The sequence below is a fragment of the Homo sapiens genome, chromosome 20 (genome assembly GCF_000001405.40).
Source record: "Homo sapiens chromosome 20, GRCh38.p14 Primary Assembly".
Taxonomy (NCBI): Eukaryota; Metazoa; Chordata; class Mammalia; order Primates; family Hominidae; genus Homo; species Homo sapiens.
The window spans coordinates 23,745,731-23,768,085 of NC_000020.11; the positions used below are offsets into that span (position 1 = coordinate 23,745,731).

General features: G+C 47.6%; 1 protein-coding gene across 1 annotated transcript, besides 4 other annotated features; it reads right to left on the reverse strand.

Annotated features, from left to right (window-relative positions):
• Positions 1–1,831: 1,831 nt before the first annotated feature.
• On the reverse strand, positions 1,832–5,205 carry CST1 (cystatin SN). The gene is made up of 3 exons (NM_001898.3): positions 4,909–5,205; positions 3,286–3,399; positions 1,832–2,169 (listed from the first exon to the last, which is right to left on the reverse strand). Exons 1-3 carry the CDS (start codon positions 5,134–5,136, stop codon positions 2,086–2,088), a joined length of 426 nt encoding a protein of 141 aa, NP_001889.2. The 5' UTR covers positions 5,137–5,205; the 3' UTR covers positions 1,832–2,085.
• Positions 6,445–6,959: an enhancer, noted in NCBI's record as "H3K4me1 hESC enhancer chr20:23732812-23733326 (GRCh37/hg19 assembly coordinates)". NCBI's record gives its function as "activates a minimal SCP1, AML or CMV promoter by ChIP-STARR-seq in naive and primed H9 embryonic stem cells {active_cell/tissue: H9 hESC(naive and primed)}" and the evidence as "EXISTENCE:reporter gene assay evidence [ECO:0000049][PMID:30033119]".
• Positions 6,960–7,473: an enhancer, noted in NCBI's record as "H3K4me1 hESC enhancer chr20:23733327-23733840 (GRCh37/hg19 assembly coordinates)". NCBI's record gives its function as "activates a minimal SCP1, AML or CMV promoter by ChIP-STARR-seq in naive and primed H9 embryonic stem cells {active_cell/tissue: H9 hESC(naive and primed)}" and the evidence as "EXISTENCE:reporter gene assay evidence [ECO:0000049][PMID:30033119]".
• Positions 10,832–11,582: an enhancer, noted in NCBI's record as "OCT4-NANOG hESC enhancer chr20:23737199-23737949 (GRCh37/hg19 assembly coordinates)". NCBI's record gives its function as "activates a minimal SCP1, AML or CMV promoter by ChIP-STARR-seq in naive H9 embryonic stem cells {active_cell/tissue: H9 hESC(naive)}" and the evidence as "EXISTENCE:reporter gene assay evidence [ECO:0000049][PMID:30033119]".
• Positions 18,697–19,561: an enhancer, noted in NCBI's record as "OCT4-NANOG hESC enhancer chr20:23745064-23745928 (GRCh37/hg19 assembly coordinates)". NCBI's record gives its function as "activates a minimal SCP1, AML or CMV promoter by ChIP-STARR-seq in primed H9 embryonic stem cells {active_cell/tissue: H9 hESC(primed)}" and the evidence as "EXISTENCE:reporter gene assay evidence [ECO:0000049][PMID:30033119]".

Here is a 22,355-nt window from a genome sequence, read left to right on the forward strand (position 1 = left end):
CTCAGCGGTTTTAGGCTTTTAGTAAGAATGTGTGACATTATTTTTGCTAAAGGAACTCTTAGAAGGGGTGCAATATTTCCAAAACATGACCCTCAGTATCCTCCTTTACTCCCAAAAACCGGGTGGCTTCCGGACAGGGCCCAGACCCTCAGCTTGGTCCAGAAGATGAAGGTCCACATGCTCACCTTAAAGCCTCCCTGCCCCCTGCTCCCCTCCTAGGGAACAGACACACAAGGAGATGGTTGAGGGAGCCCTCTACAGAGCCAGACGTCCCCCTCCACTTCCCCAGGAAGAGAGATGTCAGAAAAGTTACTGGTTTACACAAAATTGTCTGTTCCTTGTGTCCTTGGATGGTGGTTGCTTATGTCAAGACAGACTTTCCCCAGGTAGAGAACCATGAGGATCTCCATGCAGGGAAGACTCTGCCCCTAACCATGATTCCTGGGCACATGCTCCTCTGCTCTCAGCCCCTGTCTTCCAACAGAAGCCTGAATCAGTGTGTGCAGCCCCCACCCCCTGACACCGGGTGAGGCCCAGACTCAAATCTCCCCAGTTCATGGCCTCCTGGGTGCTGCTTCACTTTCTTCAACGTAAAACCTTGGTTACATCCCATAGGGGTGGAGAGGAAATGAAACAGGTGCTCCCCACTCTCCCTGCCAGACCATACTCCTCCTGGCTTTCTATGTGCGGCACATGGGGTGCTGGCCTCAGGGCTGTTTCAACAGTTTCCCCTTTGTCATTTTCCCCTCGGTGTTCATGGCAGCCACTCTTGGTCAACGCAGATCTAGGCATGGAAGATAGTTGAGAGCCCTTCCCCAGAGGCACCTGCCCTGAGGGCTGCACCCCCTGCCCTGAAATGGCAAAGGGAAGGGCCGTGCAGGGTGGGCGTTGTCTTAGGACTGTAGCCTCTTCTTTAGAGCGCAACTACCCACTATTCTACAGAATGGTTTTGACACTTAGGTGATGTTATTTATTAATTAAAACATCCTTTGTGAAAAAATCGAGTGTCCACTGCATGTCACTTTCATTTGTGTTTTAGCTTCTCCATCCCTGCCAAGAAGGCTGACCTGAGTGCTCATTTTAAATTCAAGTCCAGAGAAAGGGCGGCTGGGTGTGAACGTGTAAAACTTTTCTAGGGCACAGCTTCCTAGCATAGGAGACAACCTCCCAGCCTGGGGCACACCCTCCCAGGATGGATGAGAGCAGGCGTTGCTTTCTCTGGGTGATCTTGCCTGTCTTTGGTCTGGGTGGCATTTTTCCCAATAAGTTATACACACACACACACACACACACACACACACACACTTTTGGACTTTGTTTCCATGTAGGTGCCTAAAGTCTCCTGTGGAAAGAACTACACGTTGATCGCTGTCTATTTAGTGTCTAGGGGATTTGATGAGAGCAGCTCAGTCCCTGGAGTCTGCTCCACTCTGCAAGCACAGATGGACTCTATGGCCTGGCGAGCTCCACTGAGGCCTGGCCCCTGCCTGTGGACACAGCCAGCCCCCTCCTCGTGGTCTGACCAGCAGCTCAGACCAAAACAGCAGCCTAGCTTCTGGGGCAGCTGCCTGGGCCCCCTCCTCTCCCTGACCCCCTCACCAGGGGCTGCTGCAGCTGAAGGCCTGGGTTCCCAGTCCCTGGCTGCTCTCTCCCTGTTCTGAAGCTCAGGTCTCTGAAAGTGGCAGCAGCTCCCCTGATGGCCTTGCTGTGGCTGCGTCAGCTCCCAGGTACTCCTGTGATCTCCACACCAGCAGGACAAGGAGGCTTCATAAAGGAACTGCAGAAACCCCGCCTGCGTGCACATCCCCAGACAGCCAAGAACTCAGAGGGAGGCGATGCTACTGTTTAATTGCAGGAGGTGGGGGGGTGTGTACCATGTACCAGGGCTATTAGAAGCAAGAAGGAAGGAGGGAGGGCAGAGCGCCCTGCTGAGCAACAAAGGACTCCTGCAGCCTTCTCTGTCTGTCTCTTGGCGCAGGCACATGGGGAGGCCTCCCGCAGGGTGGGGGCCACCAGTCCAGGGGTGGGAGCACTACAGGGGGTGGGAGTGGGTGGTGGCTGGTGCGAATGGCCTGGCACAGATCCCTAGGATTCTTGACACCTGGATTTCACCAGGGACCTTCTGTTCTCCCAGGGAACTTCGTAGATCTCGAAAGAGCACAACTGTTTCTGTGAAAGGGAAGAGAGAGGGCCAATCAGTGTGGGTTACAGTTAAAGGGGAAGATGCCCAGGCATGAGATGTCAGAGCCTGGGTGAGGAGGATGGAGGTGAGACACTGGGCCCTCACCCACCCCTACTGAGTCCCAGAGTGCTGAACTAGAATGAATAGTGACTGTTCCATTGCCCCTCCCAAGGCTCCAAGTCACCAGGTGGCATTGGGACCCCACCCCAGCCTGCAGTGTCCTGTCCCAGCACAGCCCTGTGAGGAGTAGCCTGGGCAAGGCCTCGGGAGCCCCAAGGGTGCAGGGCATGGGGAGGCAGCTCAGTTCCCCCAGCTCCTTCCACCTCCAGCACCCAGGCCAGCACTAAGAGGGGCCAGAGGGAAGAACCCAGGGCAGGGCAACTCCCCCTCAAAGAGCTGGGGCATGGGGCAAGGGCAACAAGGGGAGTGTGGCTCTCCCCTGAGTGGAGACCTCACAAGAACCAGCAGGTCCTTGGAGAGGCTGGTGTTGGGTGAGCCGGGCAGGTCCAGGGCTTCCCAGCTAACAGGCCTCTAGGTCCCACTAATCTGATCACTGTGGCTGTGGCTGCATGCAGGTGCCTGAGGCTGGGATTAGACAGAGCCCCTTCTCCCTGCCCAGCACACAGCCGCACAGCTGCTTCTTCCTGTCCAACAGGCAACACTCCAAAGCAGGCAGAATTGACCTTATAGTAACCATTCCCAACCTAAAGCCTTCCTAGCAAATCAAACACATCACCCTCCTCCCTCACCACCCCATCTGCACATACATGGACAACTACGTAAACTCACTTGGACCCCTCATCCCCATGGATCTATGTACAAAGCCCCATACACCCCCCACACATCCATGCACAGGCACACATGCTCCCATCCACCTCCCTGCACACACTGGCACAGGTGTGTACACACGTGCACCTTTCCACATGCACACCTACATGCACACCCCCCCATAAGTACATGAACACGTACACATCCATGCATACACGGCTCCCCACATACCCACCTGCACACACACACCCTCCAAACATGTGTAGGGCAGAGGCTGACACATACGCACCCCTCTGCAGTGCATGACTGGCCCGGGACCTGCATCAGGAACGTACCTTCTGCAGTTCTGGCTGTTCATGGAAGGCACAGGTGTCCAAGTTGGGCTGGGACTTGGTACATATGGTGCGGCCCACCTCTACGTCGAAGAAGTAATTCACCCCCCCAACGGTCTGCACACAGGAGAAAACAGGACAGCGCCCCCATCAGTTCATGCACTCACAGGCACTTCACTGTGGCTGAGTCACTGGACTTGCTTGGGGGCTTCGTGAGCTGCCCACATGTCAACACAAGGCACACAAGCCCCCTCTTCCTGTCAACTGGCAGGGTGCTGAGCCTCATACCCGCTCTTAAACATTGCTTTCTCTGTGCTGGGTAAAAGGATTCATTGAATTCTGCTGTCTGTGGCTCAGGGGCGAGGGAACACTGACTCTTTTCTAGGAAGTCTGTCTGATGACAAAATTTCACCTAACTTCTGAAAATCTTATTCCCTCCATTTAACATAGATTTATTACTTCACTCAGAGTAGGAAATGAGATGCTTCACACACACAGATATTTTGGATCAATGGGGCCGCCCGGATGCCACCATTTCAAGTGTGAGATTCAAGATACATTTCTCAAGTCAGCAGCACACCTGCGTGTCTTACAGTTGCAGATTAGAATTGAACCCTTTCCCTGCATAGGGCCTTTCCCAGACACAATGTGGCAGAGCTGTGGAGAAACCTGGGATGAGGGACTCTCTGGAACCAGGAGGAACTGCTGAGATCCCTCGAGTGTCAGTTTACCCATGTCTAAAATAGGCTTCTGGGCCTGATGGTCTGCAATGCCCTGTGCTTCACTCCAAGTTACTGTCATGCTTGAAAGGGAGATGCAGGCCAGCGGGGACCACGGCACCAGGGAGTGTATCTCGTATGCAGGGAGAGAGCCCCAGCTGACAGCTGCAAGAGGAGAAACGGGGCTGGTGGGGATTCCTTTGAATTTCCAGGAGAAGGTGGAGGAGCTCTAAAGACTGTGTCACTATTTGCTGCTGTGCCATGGGATGCAGGTCAAGCTGGGCCCAGTTGCCCTGCTGAAGCTCCCTCCCGACCTGACCCCTCCTCTGCTCTGCTGGGTGACCACTGTCCTCATCTGGCTGAGGTCTAACTGCATCAGCTGGTAGAGGCAGGGTCAGGCATGCTCCACCCCAGCAGGGACTCAGCGCCCTGGGCTGTAGGGGTTTGTCAGCCGGCCTGAGGGTGAAGGCCGCTAGCCATAAGGGGCTGTGCCCAGGGGCGTGACTTGGGGAAGCAGGGCTCTGCAGAACAGTGAGCCAGGTTCCTGTGTGGCCCCTGCAGAGAGGACTCAGGGAGGAGTATGAACCTCATGGCCTGGATCTCATCCTGAGCAGCATCAAGCCCACCCAGAGTAAGCACAGTCTCCATCCACACCTGCTGGACCCTGGGAAATGCCACAGTCATGGTACAGACACAGTGGCTGCTGCAGGTTAAAGGAAGCTGAGTTTGTGCACGGCCGGGGAGCGTGCTTAGGCATGAAGGGCATCAGCGGAGAGCCAGGGAAAGCTGAATGAATCTGAGCATTAGATCATGAATGTATCAGTGTTGATTTGCTGGGAATGCTCTTGGGGGTTGGGGAACAAACCAGGCTGGGACCCAGGACCCCTGGGGTGGAGGGAGCACCTACCTGTTGCCTGGCTCTTAGTACCCGCAGCGGACGTCTGTAGTAGTCATCTTTGGTGGCCTTGTTATACTCGCTGATGGCGAAGTGAAGGGCACGCTGTACCCACTCATCATTGAGGTCTGCGTTATAGATGCCACCCGGGATTATCCTATCCTCCTCCTTGGGGCTCCAGGCCAGGGCCACAGCTAGGGTGGCCAGCAGGAGCAGCAGGGTACTCAGATACTGGGCCATGGTCTCCTCAGAGGCAGAGCACAAAGCTGGAGCTGCAGGAGAGGAGGGTGAGAGCCCGAGGCAGGGAGCCCAGACCAGCAGGCAGGTGTGCATTTATCCTGCTTTGGCAGCCCAGCCCCACCCACCTCCATGCCCCACCCCTGACTCCTCCTCCTCTTTCTTCCCATCCCCTCTTTCTCCATCTCTCTTTTCACTCCCCCGCTACTACAAGCTCCCTCCCTGCCTAAGTTCCCCCTGCCCCTCCCAGGCCTCCTCCTCCATCTCCCCCTCCTCCCCACTCCAGTCCTCACTGCAGCCTCCCCGAGCCATGCCTCTCTTCCCCAGTGCTCCCAAGCTTGAGTCACCCAGGTCTCCACAGAGGTGACACTGGTCCTTTGACTGTGAAAGCTATGTGACTTCCTGTTTGCTCAGAAAGGGGAAAAATACAGGGCTTGGCCTCCCAGGGTCTTCAGATATCAGGGGCATCCAGGAGCACTTGGTCACAGTCTCTGAATCTCTGGAACAGGGAGATTATTTCAGAAAGTTCCAGAAGACCCTGTCCATACCCTAATGTGGAGAATTTCTTTGCCAAATTTAAGGGAATTAACCTTTTTGGAAAAGGTCACTGGATTCTCTTTTCATAATTCATTATTCAATAAGCAAACCTATCACCAGCTACTCCCCGTGCCAGGAGGTCTAGGGCTTGAAGACGGAACCTGGATGATGAGCCATAGAGGTGACATTGCAGAGCTGCTGCCCAACAGACATGTGACACGAACTCACGAGCAATTGAAAATTTCTAGTAGATGCATTTTAAAAGATGAGAATAAATGGGTGAAAGTAATGTTTAAAATATTTATTTAACCTTATATAGCCACAATGTGATTTCAGCTAATGGGAACAATTATTAATGAGATCGTTTATGTTTTTTTTTTTTTTGTTTTTTTTTTTTTTGGTTTTGTAAATCTTTGAAATTCCCTGTGTATTTTTAACACTTAGACCAGAAGTAATTTTGGACTGGCCCCATTTCAAGTATCCTGTGGCACATGTGGCTGGTTCTATGGAACTCCATAGTCCATTCCTACACAATGTGTGTAGGGGATGGTAGGTTACGATCAAAAATTAGGGTCAGGGAGTTATGCTCACTCTTTTGGAAGTGAAATAGAACAGGGGCTAGAGAGAGACCACTGGACCCTGGTCAGGGTGGTCTCTATGAGACTGGAGAGGTTGAGAAGCCCCAGGCAGTGGGGAACAGCCAGTGCAAAGGCCCTGAGGTGGGGTTGGGACATGCCTGCTCCAGAAAGTGGAAGCTCCTGGAGGGGGTATGAGGAGGGAAGGGAACGACCTGGAGTCTCACAGTAAATGTGGGTGGGGCCCGGTGGAAGGTGCACGGAGACCCCTGTGAGGCAGTGGGGGTGTCAGGAAAGGGAGCAGCAGCCACGGGATGAATGTGGGAACCCACAGGTCTCTCTTGCTTCTGTCCTAGGCAGCCATGCTTCAGGCTCCTTTCCTCTGTTCACTGCTTGGAAGACTCACCTGATATTTTAAAAATTGCCTTAAATGAGGTAGAATTTGCATACAATAAAATGCCTAATAGTATGTGCTCAATCTGGGGTGTTTCATAAATGCATACACTTGTGTTACCACTTTATCCAGACCTGTGACATCTGCCTTGCCCCAGACAGTATCTTCCTGCCTTTCCAGCCACCCTCGTGCCCACCCCACCTTGGCAGTCCCCATCCGGCCCCATAGACTCCTTGGTCGCCTGTCCTTGAGCTTCCCAGGAATGGAGTCCTGCAGAGCGAGCCCATGTGTGTCTTTGTCCTTTGCCCAGTGTGGCTTTCCGGCGGCCCCCGAGTTGCTTCATTGCCAGGATTGTGAGTTCTCCTTCTCCGCAGACTGAGAGGATTTGGTCAGTTGGGTGTCCTATGGGCTGACAAAGCCCCCAGCTCGGGATGCTGTGGGCCTGGGCTGGAATGTGACTCCAGGAGAGGAGAGGGTGGAAGGAGGCTCTGAACAGACAGCTGCTCCCTTTGTTCTCTCAACCCCACCCTCCATGCCTGAAGGTGACCCTGTGGCAAATGCCCTTATGGGGAGGTGGCAGGCTTGGCCAGAAGCTACAGGAAACCCTGGACCTTAGCAGGACACCCAGAGGACTCTCCCAGGAGTGGTGGAGGTGAGCGTTGGCCAGTGTCAGCCCAGACCTGTTTAGAACACTAAACAATACTATAATAAACAAATGACCAAGTGCAGAAACCATCACATAAAGGTGCAAGTGATGAGGACAAGCTGGCCAAGAGTCATCCTGGGCTGGGACATGGCTGGGGCTGGATCAGCAGGAACCCGGCATTGGGAACCATATTACTCATGGGTGCTCATGTTCAGTATTAGTACAGGGAACCTTGTTACCTGAGGCCTGGTGACCATCTCACCCCACTGTGAATCCAGCACCCCTAGAATAGCCGTGCAGCCCGGCAGATACAGCAGGTGTACCGAAGGTGTTTACTGCTGGGTGAAGGAGGGAAGGTCTTCAAACAAAGCTGCACATATGCCTCCTAGTTAGACAGGAAATGGGGAGAGATTTCCAAAGAAGGGAAAGAGAAGGAAGTCCCTTACCAGGTGTTTGGGAGCAGAATGGTCATCTCCAAAGGGTAGGAGTTAGTTCTCCTCTGTGGCTCCCACCTTCCTGGGACAGCTGGGAGTCCAGGCTCAGGAAGACATGCTGTGCAGAGGGTAAACTGAAGGTCAAGCAATCCTCTTGTTTTTTTGTTTGTTTTTGTTTGTTTGTTTTGTTTTGTTTTAATCATTGGAAAGGAGATGCAGGTAACCCAAATAGCGAGAATGTGCTGGTGGGTGGAGTATGAGGGAGGGAGGCCAGAGTGCTGACCTGTGCCCTGTATGTGATGACACCACCAGTGGTCATCTTCTGTCTGGGCACTGGCATGCACTGCAGGGAGGGTCAGCTGTTCTGATGCAGCAAGCTCTCTAATCCCAGTAGGAAAAATACCAGTGTACATTGCTCTTAGGAGGAGGTACAAGTGCGATGTCCAGTATGGAGTGATAGGAAGTAGCAGGTTGAGGTAGCTGGCCAGCTGCTCCAGATGTTTGATGACCTTAGGCAAATGGTGTGTCTGTCATGCATCTGGAGAAAGAGGCTACTTTCTAAAGCATAGTATCTGGGAGTTAAGACCAGCAGAGATGAGCAGACTTCAGCAGTGATGTATCAACATGGTTAAAAATGATGGAGTAGCCAGGTGTGGTACTGCACCTGTAATCCTAGCTTATTAGGAGAGTGAGTCAGGAAGATTCCTTGAGTCTAGAAGTTCAGTTTCAGCCTGTGCAACACAGTGAAACACCCATCTAAAAAAAATGGCAGAACACTTTGTTCCCTGATTTCTATAGTCCACAGTTTTAAGGACACACTAGAAGAGGGCCAGATAGCAACCATGGACTGAGGAACAAGCTTGGGGCCTCCAGCACCCATGTAACCTAGAGGAGTCCAGCTGCCCAGGAGGGGGCATGTTTTCCTTCTGCTAGGTGACAAAAGAGAAAGCTGTGTTCCCCTAGGCTGCACAGGTGAACTGATCTGATTATCTGAATTAGTAGGATGAGAAATTAGGTGAGTGGCAGAAGTTCTCTGCAATAAATGACCAATAATAAGTGAACACTAAACAATACCATAATAAATGACCAAGCGCAGAAAGCATCATGTAAAAGTGCAAGTGGTGAGGACAAGCTGGCCAAGAGTTGAGATTCTGCACAACTGGGTTTTGAGCAACTAACAGTTTGGTCTATGGTAGGAGCTGGGACTGAACAGCCACAGGATTTGGTGGCTTCTCAAATGGGAAGCCCAGGAGCCTCCTTTATGGAGTGCCTGGAATTCTCTGGGGTCAAGCTCATCTCTTTCACACTCCATCCTTCCTTCTTTTCTCCCTCTCCTCACACATCGTGGACACGTGGATGCTTCTAAATTATGGGCCCATGTTGGTAACACATTTGGCTCTGTTAGGACATGTGGATGCTTCTAAACTATGGGCCCATGTTGGTACCACATTTGGCTTTTCCACATCATTAGGAAACTGATACTCATGGGGAAGCCTGCTGGCAGCCCCGGCTGGGAAAGGCAAGAGAGGGCAGAGCCCAGTGTCAGGTCTGATTGTTTTGCACTCCGTGGGGAGAAAGAGAATCCTTTCTCTCAGGGACCAGCACATGAATGGTATTCCTGGCTCTGGAGTACAAGTTAACATTTATTTTTCAAAAATCAAAAAGAGCATTTGTCAGTGCAGATTCACTGACTGAAGAACCACATATGAATGGAGGGGAGTAGGGGCGGCCTCCGGAACTCGGGCTGCTGGCTGCTGCAGCCAGGGATCCATCTGACTCCCTGGGCTACAGCCTGCAGAGGCCTGGCCATGAGGAAAACAGATGACTCTGAGGAGGTGAGTCATCTCCTTGACATCTCTGGGTGGTCAGACTTTCTTATCCTGTTTGGGTCACTGCTGGGACTTCCCTGTCACTGTTTGTGTAACCTTAAATATCAATTCCTTTAGCAAAATGCAGTGACTGTGGAGATTGGTTCCTCTTCCTGCTTGGAATCCTGTTCAACTCAATCACTGAGTGTTGGAGCTGGAGCCAGAGGCCATCAGGACAGCCCTGCTCCCTCCTGTGGCCCTGCCTGCCCTTTCCTCCTGTCACAGAAGAGCTGGATCCAGTGACAAGACTCACCTTGACCAAACCCTTGTTAGGCTCCTCTGAGCCTTCCTCTGCCCTGGTCCTCAACCCTAGTCCCCAGCCCTGGACCTCCTGTTCTTGCGAGGGCTTCATGGCCCAGTTTTAGGAAAGAATCCTGCTAAGTCAGTTTAGAAAGGCTCCCCCCCACCCTTGGTATCTGATCACCCTCAACATCTGACCAAGTTCTTCTTTCCTTTGATGTCTAAGGCTTTGTCCTGGCTTTAGCAACAATATTGTTAGGTCAGTTTATCTAGAACCTCCTACCTTTGATGTCTCTGCTTAGTAATTCTGTTTGAAACCGTTCCAAAGCTACTTTAATAATGACCCAATCATTCCATACTGTAAGTGAGATGATTTTACCCTCCCTACTTGCTTGTTTTAATTGTTTTCCAATTTTTCTCCAATCTTTTAGATCTAAAGTTCCCTGTTCTAGAAACCATGGGCAGAATCGTTCTATTGTTTGAAATAGCGTGATTTGATTTTTTGTAGAAACACTAACTCCCCCACTTTTTACAAAAATTTTAATAGAGCTGAGATAAGAGGCATATTTACTTTAGTTTGCCCCATTGTTACCCTGGCTTCTTTCGAGCTTACCACAAGGCTGACTGTAGACGTACTCGGGAATCTCTCATCAACTTGTCCTCAGTGACCACGCTTGAGCGTACCTTCACCCTAGAGGAAAGCACCCACGTTGGGCACCAGATGAAAGGGTGGCCAGCTGCTCCACACCTGTGGGCATTTCTCATTGGGTGGGATGAGAGACTGAGAAAAGAAAGAGACACAGAGACAAAGTATAGAGAAAGAAAAGTGGGCCCAGGGGACAAGTGCTCAGCATAGGGAGGACCCACGCTGGCACAGGTCTCTCCGTTCCCTCAGTATTTATTGATCATTATCTCTACCATCTCAGAGAGGGGGTTGTGGCAGGACAATAGTGTAATAGTGGGGAGATGGTCAGCAGGAAAACATGTGAACAAATGTCTCTGTGTCATAAACAAGGTTAGAAAATGTGCTGTGCTTTGATGTGCACATACATAAACATATCTGGTGCATTAAAGAGCAGTATTGCCAGCAACATATCTCACCTCCAGCCTGAAGGTGGTTTTCTCCTATCTCAGTAGATGGAACATTCAATTGGGTTTTACAAGCAGATATTCCATTGCCTAGGGAGTAGCAGGAGACAGATGCCTTCCTCTTATCTCAACTGCAAAGAGGCCTTCCTCTTTTACTAATCCTCCTCAGCACAGACCCTTTACAGGTGTGGGGTTGGGGGATGGTCAGGTCTTTCCCTTCCCACGAGGCCATATTTCAGACTTTCATATGGGGAGAAACCTTGGACAATACCTGGCTTTCCTAGGAAGAGGTTCCTGTGGCCTCCTGCAGTGATTTGTGTCCCTGTGTACTTGAGATTAGGGAGTGGTGATGACTTTTAACAAGCATGCTGCCTTCAAGCATTTGTTTAACAAAGCACGTCCTACCTAGCCCTAAATCCGTTAAACCTTGAATCAACACAGCACTTGTTTCTGCCAGCACAGGGTTGGGGGTAGGGTTACAGATTAACAGCATCTCAAGGTAGAAGAATTTTTCTTATTACAGAACAAAATGGAGTCTCTTATGTCTACTTCTTTCTACATAGACACAGTAACAGTCTGATCTCTCTTTCTTTTCCCTACACACATCTACATGGAAACTGAACAACCTGCTCCTAAATGACTACTGGGTAAATAATAAAATGAAGTAAAAAATGAAGATGTTCTTTTAAGCCAATGAGAACAAAGACACAACGTACCAGAATCTCTGGGACACATTTAAAGCAGTGTGTAGAGAGAAATTTATAGCACCGAATGCTCACAAGAGAAAGCAGGAAAGATCTAAAATCGACACCCTAACATCACAATTAAAAGAACTAGAGAAGCAAGAGCAAACAAGTTCAAAAGCCAGCAGAAGACAAGAAGTAACTAAGATCAGAGCAGAACTGAAGGAGACAGAGACGCAAAAAACCCTTTAAAAAATCAATGAATCCAGGAGCTGTTTTTTCTGAAAAGATCAACAAAATTGATAGACCACTAGTAGACTAATAAAGAAGAAAAGAGAGAAGAATCAATAGACCCAATAAAAAATGATAAAGGGAATATCACCACCAATCCCACAGAAATACAAACTACCATCAGAGAATACTATAAACAGCTCTATGCAAATAAATTAGAAAATCTAGAAGAAATAGATACATTCCTGGACGCATACACCCTCCCAAGACTAAACCAGGAAGAAGCTGAATTGCTGAATAGACCAATAACAGGCTCTGAAATTGAGGCAATAATTAATAGCCTACTAACCAAAAAAGTCCAGGACCAGACAGATTCACAGTTGAATTCTACCAGTGGCACAAAGAGGAGCTGGTACCATTCCTTTTGAAACTATTCCAATCAATAGAAAAAGAGGGAATCCTGCCTAACTCACTTTATGAGGCCAGCATCATCCTGATACCAAAGCCTGGCAGAGACACAACAAAAAAAGGAGAATTTTAGACCAATATCCTTGATGAACATCGATGTGAAAATCCTCAATAAAATACTGGCAAACCGAATCCAGCAGCACATCAAAAAGCTTATCCAACAAGATCAAGTGGGCTTGATCCCTGGGATGCAAGGCTGGTTCAATATATGCAAATCAATAAATGTAATCCAGCATATAAACAGAACCAAAGACAAAAACCACATGATTATCTCAATAGATGCAGAAAAGGCCTTTGACAAAATTCAACAGTGCTTCATGCTAAAAAGTCTCAATAAACTAGGTATTGATGGAATATATCTCAAAATAATAAGAGCTATTTATGACAAACCCACAGCCAATATCATACTGAATGGGCAAAAACTGGAAGCATTCCCTTTGAAAACTGGTGCAAGACAGGGATGCCCTCTCTCACCACTCCTATTCAACACAGTGTTGGAAGTTCTGGCCAGGGCAATCAGGCAGGAGAAGGAAATAAAGGGTATTCAATTAGGAAAAGAGGAAGTCAAATTGTCCCTGTTTGCAGATGGCATGATTGTATATTTAGAAAACCCCATCGTCTCAGCCAAAAATCTCCTTAAGGTGATAAGCAAGTTCAGCAAAGCCTCAGGATACAAAATCCACGTGAAAAAATCACAAGAATTCCTATACACCGATAACAGACCAACAGAGAGCCAATTGAACAATGAGAACACTTGGACACAGGGCGGGGAACATCACACACTGGGGCCTGTCATGGGGTGGGGGTGTGGGGGAGGGATAGCATTAGGAGAAATACCCAATGTAAATGATGAGTTAATGGCTGCAGCAAACCAACATGGCACATGTAAACATATGTAAAAAACCTGCACATTGTGCACATGTACCCTAGAACTTAAAGTCTAAAAAAGAGGGAAAGTTCTAAATATCTGATAAATAATCAAACTGAAATAGGGTAGCCAACCTGGGAGTCCCCAGTTCTACTTGTGTTGTTTGTCATGTGCATCAGATTATAAAAGCTAAAAGTGGATTCCAGCCTCTGTGATTATTGTTTTGCTCTCTAAAGGAACAGCCATTCAGTGGTGGTTTGCATTCTCCTTTGCCTCTCTTTAGCATGCCACTTTAGGGTTAGGGTGGCGTTTGACAGGGTGAACCGGGATCCTCCCCTTTTCTCACTGAGGTGCTGTCTTGACTTACAGTCAGGAGCCAGGACCTGGGCAATGCGGAGGACCAGCATGCTGTGCCCCCACAGACCTCCTGGATTGCTTATTTGTATCTGGGAAGAGTTAAGTGCTGTCCTGGGTCTCTGATATATGGGCTGCTTTTAGGATTTGCCAAAAGGAAACTTTTAAAGCTTCTGTTTCTTTACAGCCAGCAGCTCAATTACTTATGGGAGGTAGGTTGTCAAGGGGACAGTAAAGAGTTCATTTGGGAAAAGAGTGGAGAAGGAGTACAGTGGAAAATGGAATAAATCATGTGTGAGTCAGTTGCTGTTCCACAGGAAAAACTCTTAACATCTTAGGGACTAAAAGCAAGAAACTGTTCCTGTCACGCTCTGGAGCCTGCAAATGGGCTGGGGCTTAGCAGATCTGGTCTGGCTTGCCTTGTGTCTTCAACCTGGGGCCCATGCTAAGGGGCAGTGTCTGCTTGGATCAGGTTTTCTTCATGATGGTGAGGAGGTGAGCAGGAGGACCCACCTCTCGCATCTGCAGGGTTAAGGTTTCTGTCCTTGTCACATCTGTTAAGGCCCAAGCAAGACCCATGACCATGCACAAAGGCAATGGGGGTTTATGCTGCAATTTTTGGAGAGAGTTGCTGCTAGCCACATGGCAGAGGGGGCATGCATGTATAGTTTTGTTCCAGCAAGGGAGACAGCTCTCCATCAATCCTGGCATACCCCCTTGAATCTAGGAAAACCCCTTTTCTCTGTGCCATGACATGGCACACACTTCCAGGAAGCCTGTGGCTTTCATGCTGGCATGGCTGTCTAAACTTTTGCTAACAAGGGTGATTTTTTCAGTCTCCTGAGTTCCACCTGGGGTATCTGGGAAGTGCTGGCTCCCTAGATGGGATCCTCCATATGAGGAAAGCTCCTCTCCAAAAGCCCGTGTTTATTCTCCATAAAAACAGGCTGGTCAAAGGGTATGGCCTGGTAGAGGCTTTTTTGGCCTATGATTTGTTATGTATTGATTGTTGAGTTCTTCCTAATAGAGAATTCACTTCTACTCCCACCCAGTGTGGTTCACATGGTATCAGAATCATAGCCAAATAATTGTGAAGGTGTGCAATGTGCAGGATGGGGTTTTATGATGAAAACTCAAGATGAAATAGAAGAAGGGGGCTGGGAAACAACAGTGACCCCCCTGCACTGCAAAGGGAGGTGCAGGTAGGATGAGGTGGGGAACGTGGCCATCTCTTGTGAGGTGCAACATCTAGGGAAATTGGAGGGAATTTCCTCCTCAGCCTCTGTCCCTGCATCCTCTCCAGTGCCCCAGTCCCTTCCATCTCACATTCTGTCTCTGCTCTAAGGAACAGTACAGAGTGTGGATGCTGGTGAAACGTGTTCTTAGTAACCAGCCAGCCTGCAGCTTCATCACGCAATGGCTTGGACATTCCCCTGACACACTGATGCTAGGCTGAGAAGTTAGGAGGTGTTTCCATGACTTCCCAACTAGCTGACAACACAGGGCTGTGCATGTCGATGATCCTTACATAGAACTTTGCTGTATTTTGAATTTTTATTTTTGGCACCTTTTATTTTGTAGTGATTTCTATTTTTTCTTTCTTTTTTGTTTTTTTTGAAACAGAGTCTTGCTCTGTCACCCAGGCTGGAGTGCAGTGGCACAATCTCGGCTCACTGGAAGCTCCGCCTCCCGGGTTCACGCCATTCTCCTGCCTCCTGAGTAGCTGGGACTATAGGCGCCCGCCACCACGCCCGGCTAATTTTTTGTATTTTTTTAGTAGAGACGGGGTTTCACCGTGTTAACCAGGATGGTCTCGATCTCCTGACTTTGTGATCTGCCCACCTTGGCCTCCCAAAGTGCTGGGATTACAGGCGTGAGCCACCACGCCCGGCCTAGTGATTTCAAACTTACAAAAAGTGGGAAGAGTAATATAAAGAACTCTTGTATACATTCAAATTCTCCCACTCATAACATTGTATCTTGTGCTTTTTCCTTCTCTTTCTATGTGTGTACAAGCTATTATAGGTTTTTACAAGTCATTTGAGTGCAAATTGCAGACATGGCCTCTTTTGTCCTCAGATACTTTCATGTGTGTGTCCTAAGGACAAGGACATTCTCTAACACAACCTCAGTTCAATGAGCAAAATCATGATGCTTGTGTGGATACATCCTTTTGTCTAGTCTGTTGTTCAGACAATTTATCAATGGTGTTTATTTGCCAAGCTTCCTTAGTCTCCTTTAATCTGGAAAAGCCCTTCATTCTCTCTTGTCTTTGTTATCCTGTCATTTTTGACAATAACTGGCTATTTTGTAGAATGTTTTCTGTTGGGGTCATCAATGGATTAGATTCAGGTGATGCATTTTTCAGATGAAAATTATAGAAGTGATATGGTGTCCCTCAGTACCTCATTCCAGGAGGCTAGGATACCATCGTCCAACTGCTGATAGATGTTAACATTAATCTCTAGATTTAGATAGCATCTTCCAGCTTTCTCCACTCTAAAGTTACTTTATTTGTTGTATAATTAATAAGTATTTCAAGGAGCAATACTTAGAAAATAGGTTTATGTTCTACTTATTATTGAACTTTTACTTTCTACCATTAGCATATAATGATAATTCTTCCATGAATCAATTGCTATTATGATGATTGTGACTATTTTTTCTAACTTCATCATTTCTTCTGTATTTATTAATGGCATTCATTCCACTGTAAGGAAAACTTGCTTTTCTCATCTGTCTGTTTATCTACATACCTACCTACCTAGCTTCTGTCTCTCGATAGATCTAACTCATGGTTTCTTATTTTATTCAAGAAGTTATAATCTGTTACCACTATTATTGCAATGTGTAGATTATCTCACAGTTGGCTACCGAGAGCTCCTTTAAACAGCTTCCTCTGTTCTCTTGACATGTTTCCATTATTATTGGAGCCTATCCTTACCTTCTCATGTATTAATAACAAGAAGTTCTAGATCTATTTTATACTTTCCTTCATCCAACTCTAGAATTACTGGCTGAAATCTGTGGTGAGTTCAGAAAGCAATCCCGAGTGGTGCCTGTGCACATTCATTGCTACAGGGAGGCCATGGTGCCTCTGTCTGTAGTTATTCACCTGGGGCAATTTTGCTTCCCAGGGCACACTGGTAATGTCTAGGACATTTTTGGTCGTTGCTACTTGGGAGGATGTGCTACTGGCATTTAGTGGACAGAGGTCAGGGATTCTGATAAACATTGTGCATTTTTCCCCCCAGTGGTAGATTAGAAGCTTTCAGTGTGCCTAAGCACTTGGAAATAGCAAAATAGTACCTAGTGATCGGCTCTGTGAGTTTTAACTCAAGAAGGAGAGTGGGAATCCACTGGAATCCTGAAGGACACCTCAGATTCTGGGGAGGAGAATGTAGGCAAATAGCCCCTATGTTAATGTGCTCCTGATAAAAGTGAGCGATGTCCCAGAATGTGAGGGGGTAGAGAGTCTCCCTCTGTGATGTACCCTTCCACTGGGGATTCCATGGACCCAGGTCAAGGGAGAGCACTTTGTTTCTCCCAAGCCCTAGAGCTAACTTGGGGAGATGCTGGACACTCTGAGAAGGAAAGACACTGGAAAAAGTTGCTGCCATTTTCTTAGACCTAGGACTAAGAGCAGTATGCTAGTTTTAATCTGGGCTCATAAGTCAGTCATTCTTAGGTGACCCAGCAGCTTGCCTACAAACTCATTTTAGTCTTGGGCCATATGGGAGTGCTTGTGCTAGAATGGGGTAGGGGTCTCCATATTAGAACTGAGCAATGACTGCGAAAAATGCCCTAATAATAGGTGTTGGAATTGTGTTCACCCTTGTTGCCAGTCTGAAGCCAGAGGAGGGCTACTGCAGTCATGGGTTCTCCTATGTCATGAGACTTGCAGCCAAGGTCATCTTGGTACCTGGAACTGGTCTCTGTGTATCGGTGCTGGATGCACCAGACTTCTTCCCTGAGATCATGGAGCAGCTGGATCTTATCTGCCCTACACTAGGGCTGATCTCTAGGCATTCAGAACACCTGCTCACTCGGATGAGCAGCCTAAGCAACCCCACCCTTCCTATGTATAGACTGTGGTGTAGCAGGGCCCTCTGTACTCCATACCCAGGTAGATCTACAGGCATTCAGAGCACCCCTGTGCCTAAATCAGCAGGCTTTTCTGCCTTACCCTTCCTGTACAGAGACAGTGGTGAAGCAGGACCCTCTCTGCTCCATGCCCAGGCAGACCTCCAGACATGTAGAGCACCTGCTCACCTGGAACAACATCCTGAGCTGCCCCAATATTCCTGTGCAGAGATTTTGGTATAGCAGCACCTGCTGCACTCCATGCTCAGGCAGATATCCAGGCATCTGGAGCACTGACTCCCCTGGATTAGGAATTGAGGCATTCTACCCCTTGCAGAGAATTTGAGTCCAAGGAGGTGTCTCACATCCAGGCCTAGGCACATGTCTGGGTGCTCAATTGATGCCCACTGGACTCCCACTCAATGCTGGTGCTTGTACCTGCTATTGGAGCACCTGTAGTTATGCCTGCCCTTCTTGGTCACCTCATCCAGGCATAAGCAGGGAGCTCACACCATGGTGCACTTCAGGATCAGCCCAATGCCAGAGGCAACAGAAAACTTCTCCCGGTAAACAAGAATCAAGTATATACCCATCTGCATTAGCCACAGCCAACTCTTACAGACAAGCACCGTCTATTGGCCTGTAGACAAACCACGTGGCCCAATATAAAACATACTGACAAAAGTGCATAGTGTTATAGAAGCAAAGCCAAAAACCCTATAGTCACACACCCTAGAGAGGGGTAGAAATGGAAAGAAAAACAATGATATAGAGAAAGATAGAAAAAAAATTCTGTCTGCATGAAAATAATTTCAAAAATTAGAAGTGTCAATGTGTCCAGATGAGAAAAAAACAGCACAAGAATCCTGGCACCATGAAACATCTGAATATTGTGAGACCATCAAGGATCTCACTATCTCCCCAGCAATGGTTCCTAACCAAAATGAAAACTCAAAAATGACAGATAAAGAATTCAAAGCATACATTGCTAAGAAGCTCAATGAGATCCAAGACAATATTCAAAATCAACAAAAACAAATTTCTTAAGCAATCCAGGAGATGAAGAAAGAAATACACATTTTAAAAAGAAATCAATCAGAGTTTGTGGAATTGATAAACTCCACTTAAGGAATTTCAAAATACAGTTGAAAGCTTTATTATTAGACTAGACCAAACAAAAAAACCACTTCAGAGCTTGAAGATTGGTACTTTGAACTAACCCAGACAGACAAAAATAATGAACAGTCTCTGAGAAATATGAAATTATATAAAATGACCAAACCTCTGAATTGTTAGCATTCCTGAGAGACAAGGAGAAAACATAAACAATGTGGGAAACATATCTGAGGTAATCCAAGAAAATTTCCCTAATCTTGCTAGTGTCATAGACATCTAGACACAAAAAATGAAGAGAACACCTGCGAGATACTGTCAGGACTCTGAGCCTAAGCTAAGCCATCATATCCTCTGTGACTTGCAGGTACACATCCAGATTGCCATTTCCTGCCTTAACTGATGACATTCCACCACAAAAGAAGTGAAAATGGCCTGTTCCTGCCTTAACTGAAGACATTGTCTTGTGAAATTCCTTCTCCTGGCTCATCCTGGCTCAAAAGCTCCCCTACCGAGCACCTTGTGACCCCCACTCTCCTGCCCACCAGAGAACAACCCCCCTTTGACTGTAATTTTCCTTTACCTACCCTAATCTTATAAAACAGCCCCACCCCATCTCTCTTTGCTGACTCTCTTTCAGACTCAGCCTGTCTGTCTGCATCCAGGTGATTAAAAGCTTTATTGCTCACACAAAGCCTGTTTAGTGGTCTCTTCACACAGACGCACATGAAAGATACTACACAAAATGAACATCAATGCCTATAGTCACCAGGTTTTTCAAGGTCAATTATATAAAAAATCTAAAAGCATCTAGAGAAAAATGTCAGATAATGTACAAAGGAAGCCCCATCAGTTTAACTGCAAAGTTCTCAGTGGCAACTGTACAAGTCAGAAGTGATGGGAGCCTATTTTCAGCATTTTTAAAGACAAGAAAATTCAACCAAGAATTTCATATTCTGTCAAACTAAGCTTTAGAAGCAAAGAGAAATAAAATGTTTTTCAGGCAAACAATCACTAAGGAAATTTGTTACCACTAGACCAGCCTTACATGAGATTCTTCAGGAAGTACTACACATGGAAACAAAAGATCCCTGCTACCATAAAAACAAACTTAAGTACATAGTCCACAGACCTTAAATGACCATACGTAGTCATAGTTATAATTTTTCCCATTGTACAGATGAGTTAACTGAGTCTCCTCGAGATGACATCCCTCGCTCTCTCAGCAGGGGCTCCATCCACCAGTTTCCCCTTTACCAGTGAGACTTCATTCTCTCAGCTACTGGGAGTGTGGCCGCTGATGGCTCACAGTTGAGTCCTTCTGTGGGCATTGATCTGAGTCAAAGGAAGCTGCTTTGTCCAAGTTCATGCCCCTCCTGGAATTGCCTATTTTAAATAATAGGTCTATATGCGGGTACAAAATGTTGACTCTTTTGCCCTGATATGCTACCACTCTGAGGCCATCCCCATTGCAGAGCTCTCCATGGGCCTGGCTGTGGCTGTCATCTGCTGAGCTGCACCCCTGCCTGACTTCTTCCTCTGCCCTACCCCATGCCCCTGCCTCCCCAGCACATGCCTCAGTGAGCCTCTTGCCCATGAATCTCCATCTGGGTCTGTTTCCAGGAACCCTAACCAAGAGATGGTGGAGTCAGGACTCACACCACAAATATCCTGCCTTTTAAACTACAGTGGGTGTTAGGTCTGTGAATGTTTGGAGGGTGGAGCAATTCTTGTCTAGGAGACTGGATGTCTCTCTTCTCAGGATTCAAGGGGTAGGATGTTCCAAATGCATTCAGACCTGAGACTTATTTGGAAAAATGGTGTTTTATCTGGAAAGTTCCCTGTTCTTGAAAATCTCTCACTCAGCAGGACTATTTTTCCCTCCTTACTCCTTAGTAAAATGAAAACCAAAGCTTCCATTTGCATTGGTCTTGGTGAAATATTTCACTTACCAAATTTCTTTGGATCTACCTGATGGGGAAGGCTAGGCAGGTAACACAAACCCTTTGTAATTTTGAGGAAATATGTAGAAGGCAATTTGGGGACAATAAGCCAGGTCATGTAATTTTCAGATACATTTTGTTCACATTGCACAATAAGCTTCATTTGCCACCCTGGCTCTGGGACTGGCACTTAGTGATGTGTCAGCTCCATCATTCCTGGAAGTATCCTGGCTGCAGAGAGGAAGAGTCCTGAGAAACACAGGCTACCTCTCCCATGATGACACTGGTCATTTACCAAAGGCCATGGGGGTGGTGTTCACAGAGTTGGTGCAGTGTCCTCAGCAGGGGCCCAGGTGGTTTCCTTCCATCTTCTCCATCATTCATTGGGCTCTTGTTGTTGGGCACACGGCTCATAGTGAAAGGCAGACACCATAGTTGGGACATTCTGTCCCACACTACAGCCTGAAAGATGAGGAGCAGGAGCAGGAGGAGGTCACAGGTGGTGAGAGGAGGGTGTGGAGAGTGAGTGAGAGAGAGAGAGAGAGAGTGTGTGTGTGTGTGTGTGTGTGAGAGAGAGAGAGAGAGAAAGAGAGAGAGAGGATTCTTTCCAAGGCCTCGATCTTTTCTATTCAGTATAGGCTTTTTTTTTTTTTTTTTTTTTTTTGTGATGACCTGGCTGTCTTCTTAGATGTTATTGCCTGGACTTGGGTCCTATGCCCCCTGGGGTGAGGAAGGCCAGGAAGTTTATTGGCTGATGCTTTCAGCCTTTGCACTCGGGGCAGGCAGGAGAAAGGGAGTAGGGAATGGCTGGTGAGGTTTTCAGAACAAAATTTCTTAATATAAGAGTCCACAAAGAGTTTGTAGAAACTCCATAGTACTCAAAAGGTTACAAGTGGGTTTGTGCAGGAGTGTGCCTATGCATACATACACACCATTTCTACAATACTCATCTGATTCCTAATGGGATCAGTGACTGGTACACCATTCTAATGTTGAAGTATCGACGCTGAGATGTAAATGAAATGCCGTGAGTTTGCACTGAAATTAAATACAGACTCACCTCTTGAGCTTCAGACGTCCATTACTTTCAACTGAACTGGGCAGCAGGCTACCTCCTCTTTACATTCAATCAAAGTAGAATACAGGAGAATGAAAGAGGATGAAATCGAGCACACTAAAGCCAAGCCAAAGCCCACTTGCTAATCACAGTCACTGAGTCCACGGCAGTGATGAATTCTCTGGTGGTGAAGGCTTCGTAGGGAATGTGACCTAAGACACCTTCTCTTCCCCAGGAGCTCAGAGTATAGATGGCGGAGGATATATCTGAAAACATTTACTGCCATGAAAAACAAGGAAACACTTATTAAATACTAAGTGGCTTTCACAAATCAGGGAGCATGTGAGAACAATTTTTTTTCCCCCTTAGGAAGGAGTTTCACTCTTTTTGCCCAGGCTACAGTGCAATGGCATGATCTTGGCTCACTGCAACCTCCAACTCCCAGGTTCAAGTGATTCTCCTGCCTCAGCCGCCCGAGTAGCTGGGATTACAGGTGCATGCCAGATGGGGTTTCACCATGTTGGCCAGACTGGTCTTGAACTCTCAACCTCAAATCATCCACCTGCCTCGACCTCCCAAAGTTCTAGGATTATAGGCATGAGCCACTGTACCCAGCTGTGAGAACACTTATGCTGAAAA

Excerpts from the sequence above, each read along its gene's own strand:
- CST1 (NM_001898.3), bottom strand. The coding sequence starts at position 5,136 with ATGGCCCAGTATCTGAGTACCCTGCTGCTCCTGCTGGCCACCCTAGCT. Across the intron at positions 3,400-4,908 it reads TACTAAGAGCCAGGCAACAG|ACCGTTGGGGGGGTGAATTA; the intron begins GTAGGTGCTCCC and ends TCCTGTGTGCAG. Across the intron at positions 2,170-3,285 it reads AACAGCCAGAACTGCAGAAG|AAACAGTTGTGCTCTTTCGA; the intron begins GTACGTTCCTGA and ends TCCCTTTCACAG.